Source organism: Homo sapiens, chromosome 4 (assembly GCF_000001405.40).
Source record: "Homo sapiens chromosome 4, GRCh38.p14 Primary Assembly".
NCBI classification, from domain to species: Eukaryota; Metazoa; Chordata; class Mammalia; order Primates; family Hominidae; genus Homo; species Homo sapiens.
The window spans coordinates 72,280,570-72,301,376 of record NC_000004.12 but is presented as its reverse complement, the minus strand read 5'-3'; the positions used below and the strand labels follow the sequence as shown (position 1 = coordinate 72,301,376).

The following is a 20,807-nucleotide window of genomic DNA, read 5'->3' as shown; positions in this document are numbered from 1 at the left end:
TTTGCAAATGTTTTATTCCAGTCCATAGGTTGTCTTTTCATTCTTTTAGTAGTTTCTTTCATAGAGCAAAATCTTTTAGCTTTATCGAAGTCCAATTTTTTAATGTTTTCTTTTGTGGATAAAGATTTTGGTGTTATGAAATTTTTTTTTGTCTAATCCAGCATCAAAACATTTTCTCCTACTTTTTTTGGTAACTGTTTTAGAGTTATACATTTTACATTTAGGTATATGTATCACTTGGGGTTAATTTTGTATGAAGTGTTAGGTCCTTATTTTTGCATATGGATGTCTATATTAGTTATCTATTGTTGTAAAACAAATTACCCTCAAACTTAGTGGCTGAACACAAGCAATACTTATAGTTTCTGTGGAACATGTATCTGGACACCACTTAACTGGCTAGTTCTGGCATAGAGTATCTGATGAGTTTGCTGTCAACTGTGGCTAGAGTCATCTCAGCTTGACTGGGGGTTACTCTGCTTCCAAGCTTAGTCACATGGTGCTGAAAGGCCTCAGATGATTGTTCCCCAGCTTTTCCATGTGGTGGGTAGCAGTCCATGATTCTTTACCACTTAAGCCTCTCCATAGGATGCTTATACATCCTCACAATATGGCACTGACTTCCACTACAGCAAGTGACTCAAGTGAGCGAGAACATGGGACAGTGAAACCGAGACGGAATTCTCAGTCCTTTTTTACCTAATGTATCTACATTTCTTAAACCATCACAATGTCCAGTTGTTTTAGCACTATTTGTTAGAAGTCTGTCCTTTATTAAAATGCCTTTCAATTGTGTCAAAATTAATTATCCACATTTATGTGGGTCTATTCTAGACTCTCATCCTGTTCCATAATAAAATATATGTTAATCAAAGTTTTATTTAGCTTATTTTAAATATGAATGATTGGAGGCCAGAAGCTGTATTTCATGCTGATATAATTACATTGTATTCTTTTCTAGCAACATGAGTATCTGGCTTTAGAGACCTGATGCTTAACCATCATGATAGATGCTTCAAGACTTGCCCACTGATTATAATCTGACCACAGCAAGTGGTGTGGGCTGGAGGTACAAGAGGGAGATTTGTAGCTAGGAGATGAGGGTGTAGACAAGCAATGTTCTATCATTATGACATTGCTTTTCCATTCTGAGTCCTGGAACATGGTGGCTAGGCTGTCTGGGGCAAAGAGAATTAGATATCTGGCTAGAGTGTAAGGGTTGTTCGAATGGTGCTTGATTTTTAATGCTGTTTTAAAAAAAAAGACAGAAAAAAGAGAATAAAAGCCAGATAACCAGATCCTCTACCCCCACTGATTTTAGTATCACCTCATTTCTCAAACAAAAGGTAGTTCTAAAAATTTAGTTTGGAATACCAATGAATTGCACATTTCTCTCTTTGCATAATCAGTAAAATCCTATGAAAGCTACATGAAAATCAATTTTTTTAAAGGCAGCTTTGCCCTGAACAAAATTAAAAGGCAAGAGACAAACTGAGAAAATATTTGCAACTCATATTACAAAAAGGAATTCATATCTTTAGTGCACAGATTAGGAGAGAAAAAATGTGTACAGTTCCAATAAAAACCAGGACAGTCATGCAATGTACAGTGTTTAAAATATGTGAGTAATAAACTTAGGAAAATTAAACTTTATTAGTTATCAAATAAATAACAACTAAAATCATGATATTTTTCCCATCCAATTAATAAAGGTGAAAATTATGTAACATGTAGTGTCAAATGGCCACTTTCATACACTCTCATTATTAAAGTAACAATTGTTCTAACTGTTCCGGAGGACCATTCACCAGTCTATCAGAAGAACTAGAATTATAAAAAGTGTTTGTTCCCTTCAGTCTACTAAGAAACGCCAGAAATCCCCACAAAGGTTGGGAAAATTTCTAATGAAAACAAATATTGAAGAGTTACCACACACTTATTAACAATAATACATAACAATTTTAGGATTACAGACTATGCTGACATTTAAAAGTATATTTTCTTTTTTTAACTTTTTTTTGTACAAGTGCAATTTAGCTACATTGATATCTTGCATTGTGGTAAAGTCAGGGCCTTCAGTGCATCCATCACTGGAGCAATGCACATTGTACCCACCAAGCAAGTTCCCATCATTCAGCCCTCCTTCCATTCCCTCTGACCCCTCTGAGTCTCCAATGACCATCATTCCACACTCCAAAAGCATGTTTTCAAAGAATATTTTGAGAAATGTGCATGTTACATGAAATAAACAAAGCCAGGAAAGTAAATATGTCTGTACACACACACACACACACACACACACACACACACACACACACACACAGAATGCAAATATCTTGAGGGACTATCACAATAATAAAAGTGACTGGTTTTCTCTAGTTAGGTAGAATTATGATTTTTCGTTTTCTTTCTATTTTTCCATAATGTATATATTTTCTGGAGGGAACATTACTATCTTTATCATCACAACACAACAATTTCCGTTGAAGACAATTTTAAAATGCACCAAAATTTTTAAATTTAAAAATTCAAAAAATTTAAAAATTTAAAAATTTTAATTTAAAAATTTTAATCCTTTAATTTTAATTATAATTCTTTACACTTAAAAGTTAAAATCCTTTAAAAAGGAGATGATATAATTTAAGGAAACCTACAGTGAACCTTATAAAGTTATTATTTTTATAATACAAACTCTTACTCCTCAGTGTATGTATTTTTTAACACTTTTATGTTAAAAGTTTTATAGATACTTCATCTTTTTCTTAAACAGGGCACATTTGCACTATGGTTTATAGAAATAAAAACATTATAATTTTTGAAACTATTTGAAAGTTTTCAGTTTTAATAAGAGCAATATTCTGAAATATTTGTAATTTTACACTCAAAATTTAAAACCCTCAGGTGATTTACATATTGATTTCATGTGTATGTTAGATTATACCTCAAGAAAATGATACCCGCTCTAGCCTGACATATAAGTACATCATCCATGAAGACTCTGTACCTACAATCAACAGCAACAATGTCATCCAGGAAGAATTAGATACTTTTGAGTGGGCTTTGAAGAGCTGGTCTCAGTGTTCCAAACCCTGTGGTGGAGGTAACCATTGAACACATTTATTATATTAAAATGTAATGCATATAAAAACCAATCTTGCTTCTACCTTTATTGCTGTCTCTAATCGAGGCCACAATCTGAGAAACACCAAACATAACCATCAAAACATCAATACAAAACATTTTTACTGAAATCTCAGAATCACCAAATCATAGGATTCCTTTCATAACAGTGACAGACCTTAAAATCCTCTTGCCCTTTTCTCTCAGGTCCTTTGTCTTGCATTTACTGTAGTGGTACCCTTAATCACTTTATTCTTCCCAAACTCCAAAACTCTCCCAAATTCAGTGTACTCTGGTCCTCATCTTTCTTCTTACCTACTTTTGCTTTCTGTATCTCTCTGCATTTCTACCAGAGTTAATAACAAAAGAGCTATTGGTTACATGACTGTGTAACTGACTATGCTATGTATTTGAAACCAGATACTGTTCTAAATGCTTTATATATCAATGCATGAATACTCACAATGGCCCTACGCAGTTGGTACTGTTGTTATCTCTGTTAAAGTGGTAGCAAAACTGAAGCACACAGAAGATAATTGCCCAGAGCCCATAGGATTCAAACCCAGATAACCTGGCTTCTGAACACATGCTCTCACTCACTGCACTGTGCTGCCTCCGTTCCCTCTCCAGAGTCCATTAAGCTGGATTTAATGTCTCTCAATTTCTCCCATCATCCATTCCTCTAGTTCTAAACAAGTGCTCCATTACCAATTTCCCACCATGGGCAGGAGAAGGCAAGAGGCTGTTACAAAAATGACAGCAAATAATTGAGAACAAAATTTGTATTAGGCAGTGCTTGTGTAAATTATTTATTTTATAATTTTAAGTTCAAGGCTGTATTTCTAAAGTGTTTTCTTGAGGGAAGAATACAATAGTTAAGTATTTTAAATGACATCTCTTTATCCATTACAAGATGCTTATTTAATTTGGACCCTCCCTTCTGCTGTACTCTCAACATTTACTTGGTCATAATATTTGTCAGATATACCTTCTTCATATCTACCACATCTATTCCTTCTTCACCAGACTCCAGTCACCACTTTGGGAGGGACGATTATTGCAATAGCCTTTTAACTAGTCAACTAATATTGATGTTCTTCTCTTCCTTAATTTACAGGGTAATTTTTCTTGAATGCATGCATGAATGAATGGTAAAATTATATTATTTCCCAGATTAAAATCCTTCAGTCTTCTAACATGTTGCCCTGAAGACACAACATCACTTTATGTAGCATTCTTTCTAAAAATGAATCCCTTGAATCTCATCATTAGAACACAGTTAAACAGGCCCAAATTTCGGAACATTTTATAAAACAAATAGTTTTTAAATTTCAAAACTAGTAAATGCCGTAAGACAAAAAGAGGTTCAGTAATTATTTCTGATTGATGGAGGCTGGAGACATAACAGTTAAACGCAACATATGATCCTTGACTGGAAAAGGATTGCCATAAATAACATGATAGGGACAACTGAACATTTTTGAATAGGTCTGTATGTTAGATAATAGCACTATGTCTATGTTAAATGTCCTGATTTTAAGAATTATATTATAGTTATATAAGAGAATGTACTTCTGAAATCTGTGCTGAAGTATTTAGGAGTGAAGGATCAGGATGTCCTCAACTTTCAAATGGTTCAGCAAAATTATATGTATATTTACACACATACACATATATAAAGAAATATAGCAAATGTGACATAGTCACAAAAGATCAATCTAGATGCAAGGTATACAAATATTGTTTTTTCTTACAACTTTTGGATAGGTTTGAATTTTTTCAAATTTATATACATAATTACAAATATAAAAGTTGATGTTTGAGAGACCCTCAGTAACTCCCTATAACCTTCAGGATAATGTCCAGAAACTTGTTAGACACTGAAGGCTTTCAAGATCTGATCCTTCCCTAACTCGTGCACTCTTCACACATGATCCTCTAGCCACATGAAGAAACCGCAGTTTTTCACACGTTATTTCCTTTGCTTGGAGAATAATTCTGCTTCATTTCCATTACCCCATACTATTTGAACTTCAGTATTCTGCTGAAGAAAAGTACTGATCCTCTAAGCTTTCCCCTCCCCTCCAAGTTACAGATCTCTTCCCTCTGTGTTCCTTTGGTGCCCTCTACTGTAAGTTATTTACATAGTTTTCTAAAAGCCTATGTCACTAAGTATTGTCACAGTGGTTTTCGTATCTACCTCTCATGCTAGACTGTGTATATTTAGAGTCTAGTTCTTTAACATGCATGCAGTTGCAATATTTATCAAACGTATTCTCTGAAAAGGTAAAAGTTTTTGTTTATTTAATGTTCTTTGGGACCTTCAGCACCTATTGAAGTGCCGGTTTGTATGCACTCAATACATATTTATTGAATGGATGAATAAATGTATGAATGAGTAAGTGAATAATCAAGTAACTATCAGCATGAAGAAGTGATTAAATCCAAAGAACTTTATTTCCTTTTCCAGGTTTCCAGTACACTAAATATGGATGCCGTAGGAAAAGTGATAATAAAATGGTCCATCGCAGCTTCTGTGAGGCCAACAAAAAGCCGAAACCTATTAGACGAATGTGCAATATTCAAGAGTGTACACATCCACTGTAAGCATCTATTTTAACTATCATATCTGGAGGTCAAAATCAGGACTTCACTGCCTTTAGCTCTTTTTAGTTTTGATTTTATTTTCAGTCAAAGCTCTATATAGACATGGTTTAAATAGTCAAGTCACTTCACAGGAATTATATAAAGCTGCAGTTCTGTGCCTTTCACCACATTCTTGTTCCTCAAAAACAACCACTTTCAACTGTTATATTTATTTTGATATTTGGTAATTACTTGCTTCCATCTAAGTCAAATGTTTTTGCTTCTATTCCTTGACTTTTTTTGGGAGGTGGGTTAGACATTATACATTGAATTTTCACTGTGAAATCTGAAGATTGTATTATTTTATGACCACTCCGCAAATGCACACCCAGAGGCCACACTTTCTCCTTCCCTGCTACTCCCATTACTGACCTAACATACCTTTTACTGATCGCAATATTCAGGGTTTGTATTAACATGTATCTCTCTTAATACCTGAGTCACACAGCATGCATTGATTATTATGGTTTCTTTCTTGTAACGTTTCTTCCAGAATAAATGAATATTTTGATTTTATGTATTTGATCTTCTACTACTTTTCCCTAATTCATTCCCAAACTCTCTTTCTCAGTATCAATCCCCTCAAAATACTAAACATCCAAGTATCCTGTCACTTTAGTCTCCATAGAAATGGAAGAGTCTTAGAGAACAGAGAGTTCTCTGTGTTCCAGCTCCAGCTTGGACTTTTTACCAGCTTTCATCCTAGGGTTTCCTTTCATCATCCTCCTTGGAATTCCTACTACGTTTCTCTTCTCTGGGATTTACTGTTACTCCAAACTATAATATATCATCCCTCAGACTCAAAAATACTGTTCTATTATTATCTACACTCAAGTGTTGCTGTTGAAAAGTCAGTTGCCATTCTGATTCTCAGTTCTTTCTCAATGACCTGTTTTGGTCTCTTTGTCTTTCAAAGTTTGTAGGACCGTCATTTTGTTCCTAGTGTCCTGAAATCCCAGTGATGAAATTGACTTGGTGCTCATTTTTACTCATCGTTGTGCTGTGTACTTATAGAGTTTTTTAATTGAAAAATAAAAATTGTATGTTTTTATGGGGTACGATGTAATGTTTTGATGTATGCATACATTGTGGAATGATTAAACTCAGCTAATTAACCAATCTATCACATCACATACTTATCATTTTTTGTGGTACACACATTTCAAATCTGCTCTCCTAGCAATTTTGAAATATCAGTTTCATAATTATTAACCATAGACACTATGCTGTTCAGTAGATCTCAAAAACATGTTTCTTCTAACTGAAACTTTGTACCCCTTGACCAACATCTTTCCATTACTCCTTCACCCTCACCCAAGCCCCTAATCACCACCATTCTAGTCTCCACTTCTGTGAGTTCCACTTTTATAGATTCCACATATGGAATCTAGAAAACAAGTGAAGGTCACATGGTATTTGTCTTTCTGTGTCTGATTCATTTCACTTAGCATAACTTCCTCCAGTTTCATCTATGTTGTGGCAAATGACACAAACTTTTAAATAAATAAAATGTATATCTTTTATCTCTGGAAGATTTTCTTGTATTTTTTTTGTTTTGAAAAAAATTCTCCCGTGTTCCTCAGTGTTCTTTCTTTCTGGGACATTAGTAGCTTGGATTTTCTCTCCTATTGTCCATTGTTGCACTTGCCGAACCTTTCATTTTTGCTATCATATCATTAATATTCAAGAGATCTATTCAAGTATTTCTTTTTCAAGGCATTTGATTTTTATTTCACAGATGCAATGTATTCTTTTATCTCTTCTGGAATATCAAGGATTCATTTCCTGTTTCTAAGTAATTTCTTTTGAGTTCTTTTCTTCCACTTCTCCACACCCACTCCACCTCCATCATTTATGTTAGAGGATTTCTATGTGGTAATCCTGGGATGTTCATACGTGTATAAAAATGCAGTGTTTAGAAGGCTGATTAGAAGTTTGCCTTACAGTCGTGGCTCGTGGGCTCAACTATAGGGTGATCTGACTCAGCTATTTTATTGAAAGAGCCTCAATTAATTGTATATTTAGTGTTTTTCTTATAAAAAAGATTCCATAGAACAGAATCAATTTCTTGCCTAGGGAGTGTAAGCCAGTTTAAAGGCTGTTCTGGAAATGTGTATAGGTTTCTAAAGCGATCTCACCATTTCACAGATGGATTTTTACGTAACCTTCTGTTTTCACTGTGGTTTCTTTCTCTCTTGATCATGTCTATTGTATCCAGTTAAGTCTGGTTCACATTCTACAGAGGATAAACCTCATGTCTTCTGCGTTGGAGGAGGGCAAATCACCCTGTATGGTTAAGAATCAGGAGGTCTAACTGCTTCCAAACAGACTTTTCATTAGTTATCCTGCTTTCAGTCTTGGCTTCACCCTTGTTTTCACAGCTCACACTGAATCTAAGGCCTCTAATCCCTAAATATTTCTAAAGTTCTACAGTGCAAGTCAGTTTGCTCATCACCTTGTACTGCTGAGTTGGACTTCATTCTTCTTAGATCTGCTGAGTTAGTTTCCATATGTCCATCTGTCTTCTAGGTTCCAAAATTATGTTGCTGTGACTTCCTCTCAAATTTCTTTGTCTTTCTAGATTTATAACATTTTTGTCATTTACTTTCATTCTGAGATCTTAGGAGGGAATGGAGGTAATCAGAAGTACCTATATCTGTGAAGTATAATATTTGTCTTCAAAAGAGAGTCATCACTGAAGTCTTCAAAATTGAGCAAAATTCCTCAGTCCAGTTGCCTTGAGACATTCATTTTACCACCAGTTTGACAAGCTAAAGCAGTCTTAAACTGTGAATACCAAAGACTGCCAAGGTTTTAGCATGGTTATATTTTGGTGCCTCATATATATGGAAAGAAAAATAAATTGCAGAGGGAAAGTAACTTTGGAAAAGGCAAATCCATTTTAGCCTGAATTACATACAGACAGCTTGCATAACCAGATGGAGTCAATGGTGACCACCCTTTGGGACTTGGTAACCATGTGTACTGGAGAACTGTGTGTAATGTTGTATCCACAGCTGATTTGGAGAGTGCTTGGGACACTGACACTGACATTAGAATTTGGGAATGTCCCCTGGTTAATATTTTGGAAAATGCCTCTGGAAATGTTTCTATCGGGTGCATTTGTGTGAACAGTTTTTACCCAGCCCCAATGCACACCACCCTTACCTCTTGTCAGGCCCAGTAAGGGCCAATAAGAAGAACTGCATTATCCAAACAGTATAGATATGTCAAGTAGCCTTCATAGCAACAACTGTAGAAATAAAACAGTCATATCAGTTAAAATATTTAAACATGAGTGAACTCTCCAGATTTTATAAAAATGTGCCCTCGTCCAACCCAGAAAAAGACATGAGGTGTATCCTCTGTAGAATGTGAACCAGATTTTTAACTATGTATAATAGACATGACCAAGAGAGAAGGAAACCATAGTGAAAACAGAAGGTTATGTAAAGAAATCGTAAGTGTGTCTTAGCAACCATTAGATGGATTCTGTTTTAAAGATTCACTGTCAGATGTTTAACACCATTAGGCAATGTAACTGAGAGTGAGTTGGTGCTATCCTTGAAAACTGCCTTCATGCCTGAATCTAACAGGGCAACTTTAAGATGAGTTTCAGAAACCCTCTGTAGATCATCCTTTAGGAAAGAAGAAGATTTCAGAGTCACTGAGAGGCAGAAAAAAATAGGGCATTAAAAGTTTCAGCCACATCCTATTTGAGAAATAGGAAAACTTTTACACCGTTGGTGGGACTGTAAGCTAGTTCAACCATTGTGGAAGTCAGTGTGGCGATTCCTCAGGGATCTAGAACTAGAAATACCATTTGACCCAGCCATCCCATTACTGGGTATATACCCAAAGGACTATAAATCATGCTTCTATAAAGACACATGCACACGTATGTTTATTGCGGCACTATTCACAATAGCAAAGACTTGGAACCAACCCAAATGTCCAACAATGATAGACTGGATTAAGAAAATGTGGCACATATACACCATGGAATACTATGCAGCCATAAAAAAGGATGAGTTCATGTCCTTTGTAGGGACATGGATGAAATTGGAAATCATCATTCTCAGTAAACTATCGCAAGGACAAAAAACGAAACACCGCATGTTCTCACTCATAGATGGGAATTGAACAGTGAGAACACATGGACACAGGAAGGGGAACATCACACTCTGGGGACTGTTGTGGGGTGGGGGGAGGGGGAGGGATAGTATTAGAAGATATACCTAATGCTAAATGATGAGTTAATGGGTGCAGCACACCAGCATGGCACATGTATACATATGTAACTAACCTGCACATTGTGCACATGTACCCTAAAACTTAAAGTATAATAATAATAAAATAAAAGTTTCAGCCTACTATTGTTAAAAAGTTATCCATTATATCCATCTTTCTGAAACCACTTCCTGAACTGCAGTGTGCCCACTAGGTTGCAAGTCACTTAGAGAGCAGAAAAGTCTAGGCTTTGCAGGTAGAAATGTGTACACTATACATACCAGTGATAATTGCAATATTAAATCCCCGCACCCACAGCTGGGTAGCAGAAGAATGGGAACACTGCACCAAAACCTGTGGAAGTTCTGGCTATCAGCTTCGCACTGTACGCTGCCTTCAGCCACTCCTTGATGGCACCAACCGCTCTGTGCACAGCAAATACTGCATGGGTGACCGTCCCGAGAGCCGCCGGCCCTGTAACAGAGTGCCCTGCCCTGCACAGTGGAAAACAGGACCCTGGAGTGAGGTAGGTGTGTGAATTCCGTGCATGCATAAGTAAAGTGTGTGTGTAAGCATGTGTAGATATTTTAATTTGGCTTAAACATCAGTTAGGCTTTGTGTGAACTGAGAAACTACTGCATATTTTGTAATTACCTGGAGGTGTTAGGAAAAATTAATGCTTTAAGACAGTACATGTTAGGGGCAAACCATGTTTATGTGTTTCATAACATAGAGAAGAAGTCTGAAAGATGACTGTTCTTTTGTCTAATATTTTTGTTGACTTCCCTATTCCTTCAGTATAAATTCCAAACCCCTGATATTGAATGCAGGGCCCAGCACCATTTGGCACTGCACTAACTCCTCTTATTCTTTCTTCATTCCAACTCTTTGTCCCAGTTCGAGTAAACTTCACACTGTTCCAAACAGACCATGCTTGTTTGAGCCTCCTACCTTTCAGCTGACTTGTACTCCCCCTCCTCCTACCTGATAATCTCTCCTTCTCCACCAAACCTCATCTCCGTAGTCCAAATGACCACCTTCCAGGTGGTACCTTTCCTGGCAGTTCCTCCTGTATATCTGAAATGCAGTACAACTTAACTTTACCATGCTGTTCATGACAGAGTATTATAACTCTGATTCTTGAATCTATATTTGCCACTAGTACACACATTTCTCAAAAATAGTATGCCTTGTTTCCTCAGCACTCAGCTAGTGCCTAGCATACCTGTCCAGATGATGTTTGTTTGCTAATTGGCTGACTCAATGTTGCATTGTCAGCTATTACCACCTGTCTTAGATATTTCTAAAGACTCAAAATAAGAAATCTTGGGGTCATAGGAGAATAGTTTATAGGAGGAAAGGGCATGAAAAAGCAGACAGAAGACTAAAGAGTAAGTGGAGAATAAGCCCAGAAAGGAAGAAACAAGCAAGTTGTCTTATCTATTTCTTGCTGCTTTAACAGAATTCCACAGATTGGGTAATTTATAAAGAACAAAAGTTTATTTGGCATATGGTTCTGGAGGCTGCAGAGTCCAAGAGTATGGCACTGGCATCTGGAGAGGGTCTTCCTGTAGCTGAAGGCATCACATGGCAAGGAGGCATGCAAGAGAGACACAGAGGATCCTTCTATCAGTAGCCCATTCCTGCAATAACTAACCCATTCCCAAGATAATAGCATTAACCCATGCCCATAAATCACCTCAGAAAGGTCCCACCTCTTAAAGGTCCCTCTCAACATTGTTACAATGGCAGTTAAATTTCAACCTGAGTTTTGGAGGGGACATTCAAACCATAGTACAAGTGCAGGTCACCCACATAGGATGATAATGATAACACATATCAAAGTCTCAGTAGAAGTCCCTCCTCCACAGCACCTTCCTAGGGCCATTACATGGAACTTTCTGAGCTTAGTTTTAGAGCAGTAAACCTTTTCATTAGAGAAATGAACTTAAGAGCACAGAGAAATAGTAGTTCCAAGGATGTTGAATTAACCATCCAAGGCAACTTATCAGTAAATTCTGCTATCTGTAAGAAAGAAGTGAGGACTGTCAATACTATGATTGGGTCCCTGAGAACAGACATCATCAACATTGTATTTAGAAACTACAGCAGATGTTACCATTGTTATTAATCATGGCTTCTTTCATATGATATGCTTACTAGGTGTCAGGAATTTTGTTACTGCTTTATACACTTTGTTCCTTTGCCTTCATTTAGTCCTAAAACAATCTTATAAGACAGGTATTATTATCCCAGCTTTCCACTAGATAAGGAAGGTGAATCTTATGTAGAAAAAACAATGCTCCCAGGCTGGTAAATAATGGAGTCAGAATATAAACTCAGTAGTATCTGTCTTCAAAACCACTGTGCAGCATTACTTAATAGAGAACCCACTCCAGATCTCTGTGTCTTTGTGTGTGTGTGTGTGTGTGTGTGTGTGTGTGTGTGTGTGTGTGTATGTGCATGGTCTTGGTGCAATAAATGTCTGTAACCACAGCCTTTGTCTCTGCAGTGTTCAGTGACCTGCGGTGAAGGAACGGAGGTGAGGCAGGTCCTCTGCAGGGCTGGGGACCACTGTGATGGTGAAAAGCCTGAGTCGGTCAGAGCCTGTCAACTGCCTCCTTGTAATGGTAGGTGTCACACCAATTGACTTCACTGCTCTGATGTTTTTAAACCTCAAAAAGCAGAATTTCCTTTTGAGAGAAGTTATAGAATTTATATTTGTTTACTGATAAATAACCAAAGGAAAACACCTGTGAAATATTAGTCCAGTTCAGTTCTTTAAGATCAGCATTTGAGGTAATGTCCTACACTTTTTAATTATCATGATCACTATAGCCCTGCCATTTCTGGCTGGTGGCATTGGAGTGAGGGCTGTGCCATGTATATGTAACGTCTATCAATTTGTGTTGCTAATAGGAACCACTTAATTTTTCCTTGTTATATTTAACTATAACTTCACATCTTTATTAAAAGCATAATTTTGCAAAGATTTTGAAATATTTTACTAAAATTATTCAATTTTGATCTGTGGGTAATGTTACTCAACCCTAAAGCCATTTCCAATAACTGTCTGTCCATAGAGTAACTTCAAACAGACACCTTGCACATAGGATAAAATTCAGCATTTGCCTGACCTGCCAACTTGCTGTATGGCAAAAGCAGAGTATATTTTCTTTATTTAGTCAATTTGCTATTTTAAAACAGCAAAATGGGGCCAGGTGCGGTGGCTCATGCCTGTAATCCCAGCACTTTGGGAGGCCAAGGTGGGTGAATCACCTGAGGTCAGGAGTTCGAGACCAGCCTGAACAACATGGTAAAACCCTGTCTCTACTAAAAATACAAAAATTAGCTGGGCATGGTGGCGCATGCCTGTAATTTCAGCTACTTGGGAGGCAGAGGCAGGAGAATTGCTTGAACCCAGGAGACAGAGGTTGCAGTGAGCTGAGATCACGCCACTGCATTCCAGCCTGGGTGACAGAGTGAGACTCCATTTCAAAACATAAGTAAATAAAACAAGCAAAATATATTGGATGGTTTTGGGCTCTATCACTGTCTCCTTCTGCCTCCATTTCCATAGCTCTCTATCCACATCTCTGTCTGTCCTGTGCTCGGTCATCTGTGTCTCCATTTGCTGTCCTCTGTCTCTCTCTTATTTTTGGTGTCTGTCTTGCTCTGTCTCTGATGAGCTGTCACCTGCTGCCTGTATGTGGCTCATTTTCTATGTCAGCCACACATGCTTTTTCGAGGCCTTACTCTTTCTTCTTGCTGTCCTTCCCTCTCCCTCTCCTAGTCTCCCTGGCTGTACCTCCTATCATTCTTTTTCCCTCTCATCTTCTCTCTCCTCCTGCCTCTTCCTGGCTCTCTCTTTCCCCTCTTTCCTTGTTCCATGTGTCTGTCTCCCTTTCTCTCCCATTTTCTCTTTCTCGGTGTCCTCCCCTTCACCCTCTCCCTTTCTCTTTCTTTATCCTCCCCTTCCTCTCCAACTTGGTATGTCTGTCTCTGTCTCTCCATCTCTTCCACCTCTCTCTCTCTCCCTGTCTCTTATCTCCTCCACTGCCTTAGTCTGTTCTAGCTGCTATAACAAAATACCTGAGACTGGGTACTTTATTAAAAAAAAATTATTGCTCAGAGTTCTAAGTCTAGAAGCCCATGATCAAGGCATCAGCAGATTTAGTGTCTGGTGAGGGCTTCCTAGATGGTGCCTTGTTTTTCTGTCCACATGTGGTGAAAAGGGCCAGGGAGCTCCCTTGATTCTCTTTTATAAGGGCATGAATTGCATTCATAAGCGCTCCACCCTGATGGCCTAGTCACCTCCCAAAGTCCCCACCCTGTTAGTACCATTGCCGTGAGGATTAGGTTTCAACAAAGGAATTTTGGGGGCACACATTCAGGCCATACCCACCTTTTTCCTCTCCTTCCAGCCTCTTTTTCTCTACTCCTCCATCTTTTACTCCTTGTGTCTGTCTCTTTCTCCTCCTATCTTTCTCTTCCTAGCCCCTCCACTGACATCTTTTTCTCTTCCTGTCTCATTTTCTCTCCCCAAGTCAGTCTCTCGCCACCCCCATCTGTTTGTTGCACTCTCTCTTCCGTTATATTTTCTTCTCCTGCCTTGTTTTCCTAGCCCACCCATCCCCATCCACCACAACCCTTCTCTTAAATGCAGTTCTGCTAAAGCCACGACAGTGACAACTGTGGACGTTGTTTTCACATATTAGAAGACTCAGGCCTAAAGAAGTTGCTTTTTCCTTGGCCTCCAACACCATAAGTAAGACATTGTTTGAATATTGACATCTGCTGAATGGTGCTTTTTGTCAAGAAAATTGGCAAAGCACTATCTTGTCAAATGTTTTATTTTTTGAAGCTCATTTTCAGGCTTTAAGTCTTCAACCCTTATAAATTACTTCATTATAAATTTTCATCTGAAATATATTATAGCAAGAACATATCTGACCATGAGAGGGAGACATAGGACTTATATATTTAATCATTTTACTTTGGAAAGTATTGACATATGTAAGAGCTCAAAATACAAATCAAAACCAAAAGAACAAACTTTACTCAGAAGTTTTAACATATACTGTCACCAGAATATTTTATTCTTATGTAGTTATTCCTGTTAAGAGGCTGCCACTTTGTAAGTAAGCTTTATTGATCTTGGAGCTGGTACAGCTGTGCATTTCTACAGACGTGCCCAATGGTTAGCAAGAATTTTCTTGATTCTCCTTCTTTAGCCAGAAGAAATTGTTTTGAATATAAAACCAGGGAGCTAATAAGATAGCTTAACTATCATAGTGATTTCATATCCCTTTTAGTTGTTCTGTTGTTCTAAAATTGAGGCCCAAAGGGCAATCCTAAGAGTTCTAACGGTCACATGTTTCTACCATATTTGAAGTAAAATAAGTAATACTTTCTATCAGAATCTCAAACTGCTATTAGAATCAAATGGCCTTTTGAGACCATGTGTGAATCTCTTTTCCAGAACCTCTTATAATGATTTGGGGGTGGAACGAGAAGTCTGAAAAGTTGCCTTAATTTTTTTGTAATTGATTGATTTTTTTCATGTGACTCCATATTTTGATTGATTGTACCATTTTTTTTTTTTTTTTTTGCCTGTAAGCTCTTCTCATTTATCAGTAGGCAAATTCCCATAAGGTTAATGTATTCCTTTGCTCTTATTTTTCTCAGAATATCTCTCCCTTTTGCTCCTCCACACAAAAGTAAATTCTGGCCCTAATGAAACCCAGGTTATGAACAGGACTCTGCAATGCCAAAGTGCTCACACTTAGACATGGGAGACCTTTGGTTGGACTCCTTCTCTAACTCAGAGAAAACAGGTCGTACTTCTAAGAGGGGCCTCCTAACAGGGGCGATGAGGGAAAGGGGTTAGAGGAAAAAGAGAGGACAAGATCGAATAATGTCCTCTCCTCTTGAGACCTAGAGCCTGACACATACAGAAAGAAGACATTTTTCTTATTTTAAGATACAGGTTTTCAAAAAAAATTCACACATGAGAAAATATTTAAGGTGAAACTCATTAATATAATGCTCATTCATAACATAATTAGATGATGACCTAGCTTATATGAAGTATTCAGACACATTATACCATATAATAGACCTGCACATGTCAAGCATATATGAGTCATTTCACAATTTGGGAAGTGGACATCGTATTACAGCTCAATGTTGGTAATTTTAGTCCTCTATTGGCTTCGCCAGCTGACTCTCTCTTTTTTTGTTTCTAACTTTAGAAAAAGGATTTTTTCAATTTTTGGGGAGTTATGTAGCAGGCCTCTTTCTTAGCAGTATAGTATTACCCAATAATAGGCTGTAACTTTAAGTGATTCTATTACATAAATGCCACAATTGACAGTTCTTTGCATTTCTTCTTTGGGCATGGATCAGTGTTTCTGTGTTGCACATATGCAGGGATGCTACTCTATGCACTGGTTCTGTTATCAGAGAGGCACAGGATATGTCTTTATTTCATAAGGTATACCCAGGATGACTAAAACTATGCACAAGTTAACATTTTTATGAGCTTAATATTTGGATTATCTGAAATCCAATTCTTGTAACCTGGAATCAATAAAATTTTAAAGTAATAAAAATAATGTGTACACATGCAGTATGAAGTGTTTTAGAAGTGTTACTTTAGATGTTATCAAGTGTTTTATGAGTATTACTTTAGTAATTTTTAGACAAAGTGCTGTCAATTCAATGAAATTACATTTTATGAGTGTTACTAAGTATCCTTTAAACATAAAGTACTGTCAATTCAATAAAATTAAATGTAAGAACCATGAATTATTCATAAGAAATTTGGCATACTTTACCCAAATTTGTGCATTCAAATAACAAATAATCTGAGAATATTCAATGATAAACATGAAACTATTTTATTCAAACTGGAGAATTTTTTTTTTTTTTTTTGAGACAGAGTCTCGCTCTGTCACCCAGGCTGGAGTGCAGTGGCACAATCTTGGCTCACTGCAAGCTCCACCTCCTGGGTTCACGCCACTCTCCTACCTCAGCCTCACGAGTAGCTGGGACTACAGGCGCCTGCCACCGCGCCTGGCTAATTTTTTTTGTATTTTTAGTAGAGACGGCTTTTCACTGTGTTAGCCAGGATGGTCTCGATCTCAAACTGGAGAATTTTTTTAAATCAAGATGGTATTTTGATTATTCTTTGGAGAATACCTTTGTAAGATTTGTTTTGTTTTTACAAGTGTTTAGTATTTATTTTGATTTCACATTTTAACGTAATGTAGGGAGTACCCTCTGAGAAAGTCAGAAATACCATAAAATAAAAATACAGATGCCCCTTTGCATCCTAAAAATTTAACCACAACGTTAAATAAATTATCTTTGCCCATTCTAAAATCAGATATAGGTTCCTACTTGGAGAAAAAAATACCCTCTGTGGTCTGAAGACTCCTGGTGGAAATATTAAAATAATGATCATCACAAGGACTTTGTAGACAAAGAACTACTTATTTTAGTGAATTCATTCTAATATTCATATTTTTAATGCAAAAGCTCGTGTGGATCACTCCCGTTAGTGTCAGATTGCACTTAAATCTTTTTACATTCATTAAAAATTTTAATTTTTTTCCTCCTTTTATTTTATGTTTAGATGCTAGTGTTAGTTTATTTTCTTTTTATTTTTGCAGATGAACCATGTTTGGGAGACAAGTCCATATTCTGTCAAATGGAAGTGTTGGCACGATACTGCTCCATACCAGGTTATAACAAGTTATGTTGTGAGTCCTGCAGCAAGCGCAGTAGCACCCTGCCACCACCATACCTTCTAGAAGCTGCTGAAACTCATGATGATGTCATCTCTAACCCTAGTGACCTCCCTAGATCTCTAGTGATGCCTACATCTTTGGTTCCTTATCATTCAGAGACCCCTGCAAAGAAGATGTCTTTGAGTAGCATCTCTTCAGTGGGAGGTCCAAATGCATATGCTGCTTTCAGGCCAAACAGTAAACCTGATGGTGCTAATTTACGCCAGAGGAGTGCTCAGCAAGCAGGAAGTAAGACTGTGAGACTGGTCACCGTACCATCCTCCCCACCCACCAAGAGGGTCCACCTCAGTTCAGCTTCACAAATGGCTGCTGCTTCCTTCTTTGCAGCCAGTGATTCAATAGGTGCTTCTTCTCAGGCAAGAACCTCAAAGAAAGATGGAAAGATCATTGACAACAGACGTCCGACAAGATCATCCACCTTAGAAAGATGAGAAAGTGAACCAAAAAGGCTAGAAACCAGAGGAAAACCTGGACAACCTCTCTCTTCCCATGGTGCATATGCTTGTTTAAAGTGGAAATCTCTATAGATCGTCAGCTCATTTTATCTGTAATTGGAAGAACAGAAAGTGCTGGCTCACTTTCTAGTTGCTTTCATCCTCCTTTTGTTCTGCATTGACTCATTTACCAGAATTCATTGGAAGAAATCACCAAAGATTATTACAAAAGAAAAATATGTTGCTAAGATTGTGTTGGTCGCTCTCTGAAGCAGAAAAGGGACTGGAACCAATTGTGCATATCAGCTGACTTTTTGTTTGTTTTAGAAAAGTTACAGTAAAAATTAAAAAGAGATACCAATGGTTTACACTTTAACAAGAAATTTTGGATATGGAACAAAGAATTCTTAGACTTGTATTCCTATTTATCTATATTAGAAATATTGTATGAGCAAATTTGCAGCTGTTGTGTAAATACTGTATATTGCAAAAATCAGTATTATTTTAAGAGATGTGTTCTCAAATGATTGTTTACTATATTACATTTCTGGATGTTCTAGGTGCCTGTCGTTGAGTATTGCCTTGTTTGACATTCTATAGGTTAATTTTCAAAGCAGAGTATTACAAAAGAGAAGTTAGAATTACAGCTACTGACAATATAAAGGGTTTTGTTGAATCAACAATGTGATACGTAAATTATAGAAAAAGAAAAGAAACACAAAAGCTATAGATATACAGATATCAGCTTACCTATTGCCTTCTATACTTATAATTTAAAGGATTGGTGTCTTAGTACACTTGTGGTCACAGGGATCAACGAATAGTAAATAATGAACTCGTGCAAGACAAAACTGAAACCCTCTTTCCAGGACCTCAGTAGGCACCGTTGAGGTGTCCTTTGTTTTTGTGTGTGTGTGTTCTTTTTTAATTTTCGCATTGTTGACAGATACAAACAGTTATACTCAATGTACTGTAATAATCGCAAAGGAAAAAGTTTTGGGATAACTTATTTGTATGTTGGTAGCTGAGAAAAATATCATCAGTCTAGAATTGATATTTGAGTATAGTAGAGCTTTGGGGCTTTGAAGGCAGGTTCAAGAAAGCATATGTCGATGGTTGAGATATTTATTTTCCATATGGTTCATGTTCAAATGTTCACAACCACAATGCATCTGACTGCAATAATGTGCTAATAATTTATGTCAGTAGTCACCTTGCTCACAGCAAAGCCAGAAATGCTCTCTCCAGGGAGTAGATGTAAAGTACTTGTACATAGAATTCAGAACTGAAGATATTTATTAAAAGTTGATTTTTTTTCTTGATAGTATTTTTATGTACTAAATATTTACACTAATATCAATTACATATTTTGGTAAACTAGAGAGACATAATTAGAGATGCATGCTTTGTTCTGTGCATAGAGACCTTTAAGCAAACTACTACAGCCAACTCAAAAGCTAAAACTGAACAAATTTGATGTTATGCAAACATCTTGCATTTTTAGTAGTTGATATTAAGTTGATGACTTGTTTCCCTTCAAGGAAACATTAAATTGTATGGACTCAGCTAGCTGTTCAATGAAATTGTGAATTAGAAACATTTTTAAAAGTTTTTGAAAGAGATAAGTGCATCATGAATTACATGTACATGAGAGGAGATAGTGATATCAGCATAATGATTTTGAGGTCAGTACCTGAGCTGTCTAAAAATATATTATACAAACTAAAATGTAGATGAATTAACCTCTCAAAGCACAGAATGTGCAAGAACTTTTGCATTTTAATCGTTGTAAACTAACAGCTTAAACTATTGACTCTATACCTCTAAAGAATTGCTGCTACTTTGTGCAAGAACTTTGAAGGTCAAATTAGGCAAATTCCAGATAGTAAAACAATCCCTAAGCCTTAAGTCTTTTTTTTTTCCTAAAAATTCCCATAGAATAAAATTCTCTCTAGTTTACTTGTGTGTGCATACATCTCATCCACAGGGGAAGATAAAGATGGTCACACAAACAGTTTCCATAAAGATGTACATATTCATTATACTTCTGACCTTTGGGCTTTCTTTTCTACTAAGCTAAAAATTCCTTTTTATCAAAGTGTACACTACTGATGCTGTTTGTTGTACTGAGAGCACGTACCAATAAAAATGTTAACAAAATATACATCTGGCTCTATCTAGATTTTATCATTAGGTTCATCATGGGGTAATGGAAACGTGTATTTCCTCCTACACAGTAAAATGGCATCAAATTTATTTGCTACTTGTAGTTGCTTGAAAGACTCAAGTGACTGTCTCCTGTTTTCACATCAGGGTATATTACAATGATTTTTTTAAAAAACAAAAACAAAAGAGGTTGCAGGAGGTGGCTTTTTGGTTAAATCTATCTCATAGAACTATGAAGAAGATGAGGAAAGATGGCTATCATGCTAGTATTTCAGAGAAGGAAATGGTGACCTTCTGTTTTTAAAATCTGCAACCTCTGAGTGATTTTTAAATAAAAGCTTTCCATCAATTTTGTACCTTCATTACCTGAGAATTGGCGGAAACACATTATTCAAGA

General features: G+C 36.8%; 1 protein-coding gene across 3 annotated transcripts in view; it reads left to right on the top strand.

Moving 5' to 3' along the window:
* ADAMTS3 (ADAM metallopeptidase with thrombospondin type 1 motif 3) overlaps window positions 1-20,408 on the top strand; it is a 288,253-nt gene extending 267,845 nt beyond the window's left edge. For all 3 annotated transcript variants that reach the window (NM_014243.3, XM_011532422.4, XM_011532421.2), the window contains exons 18-22: window positions 2,935-3,100; window positions 5,591-5,723; window positions 10,315-10,522; window positions 12,509-12,626; window positions 17,673-20,408. In NM_014243.3, coding sequence (NP_055058.2) covers window positions 2,935-3,100; window positions 5,591-5,723; window positions 10,315-10,522; window positions 12,509-12,626; window positions 17,673-18,241 — 1,194 coding nt within the window. In that variant the 3' untranslated portion in view covers window positions 18,242-20,408. The remainder of the gene's footprint in view (window positions 1-2,934; window positions 3,101-5,590; window positions 5,724-10,314; window positions 10,523-12,508; window positions 12,627-17,672) is intronic.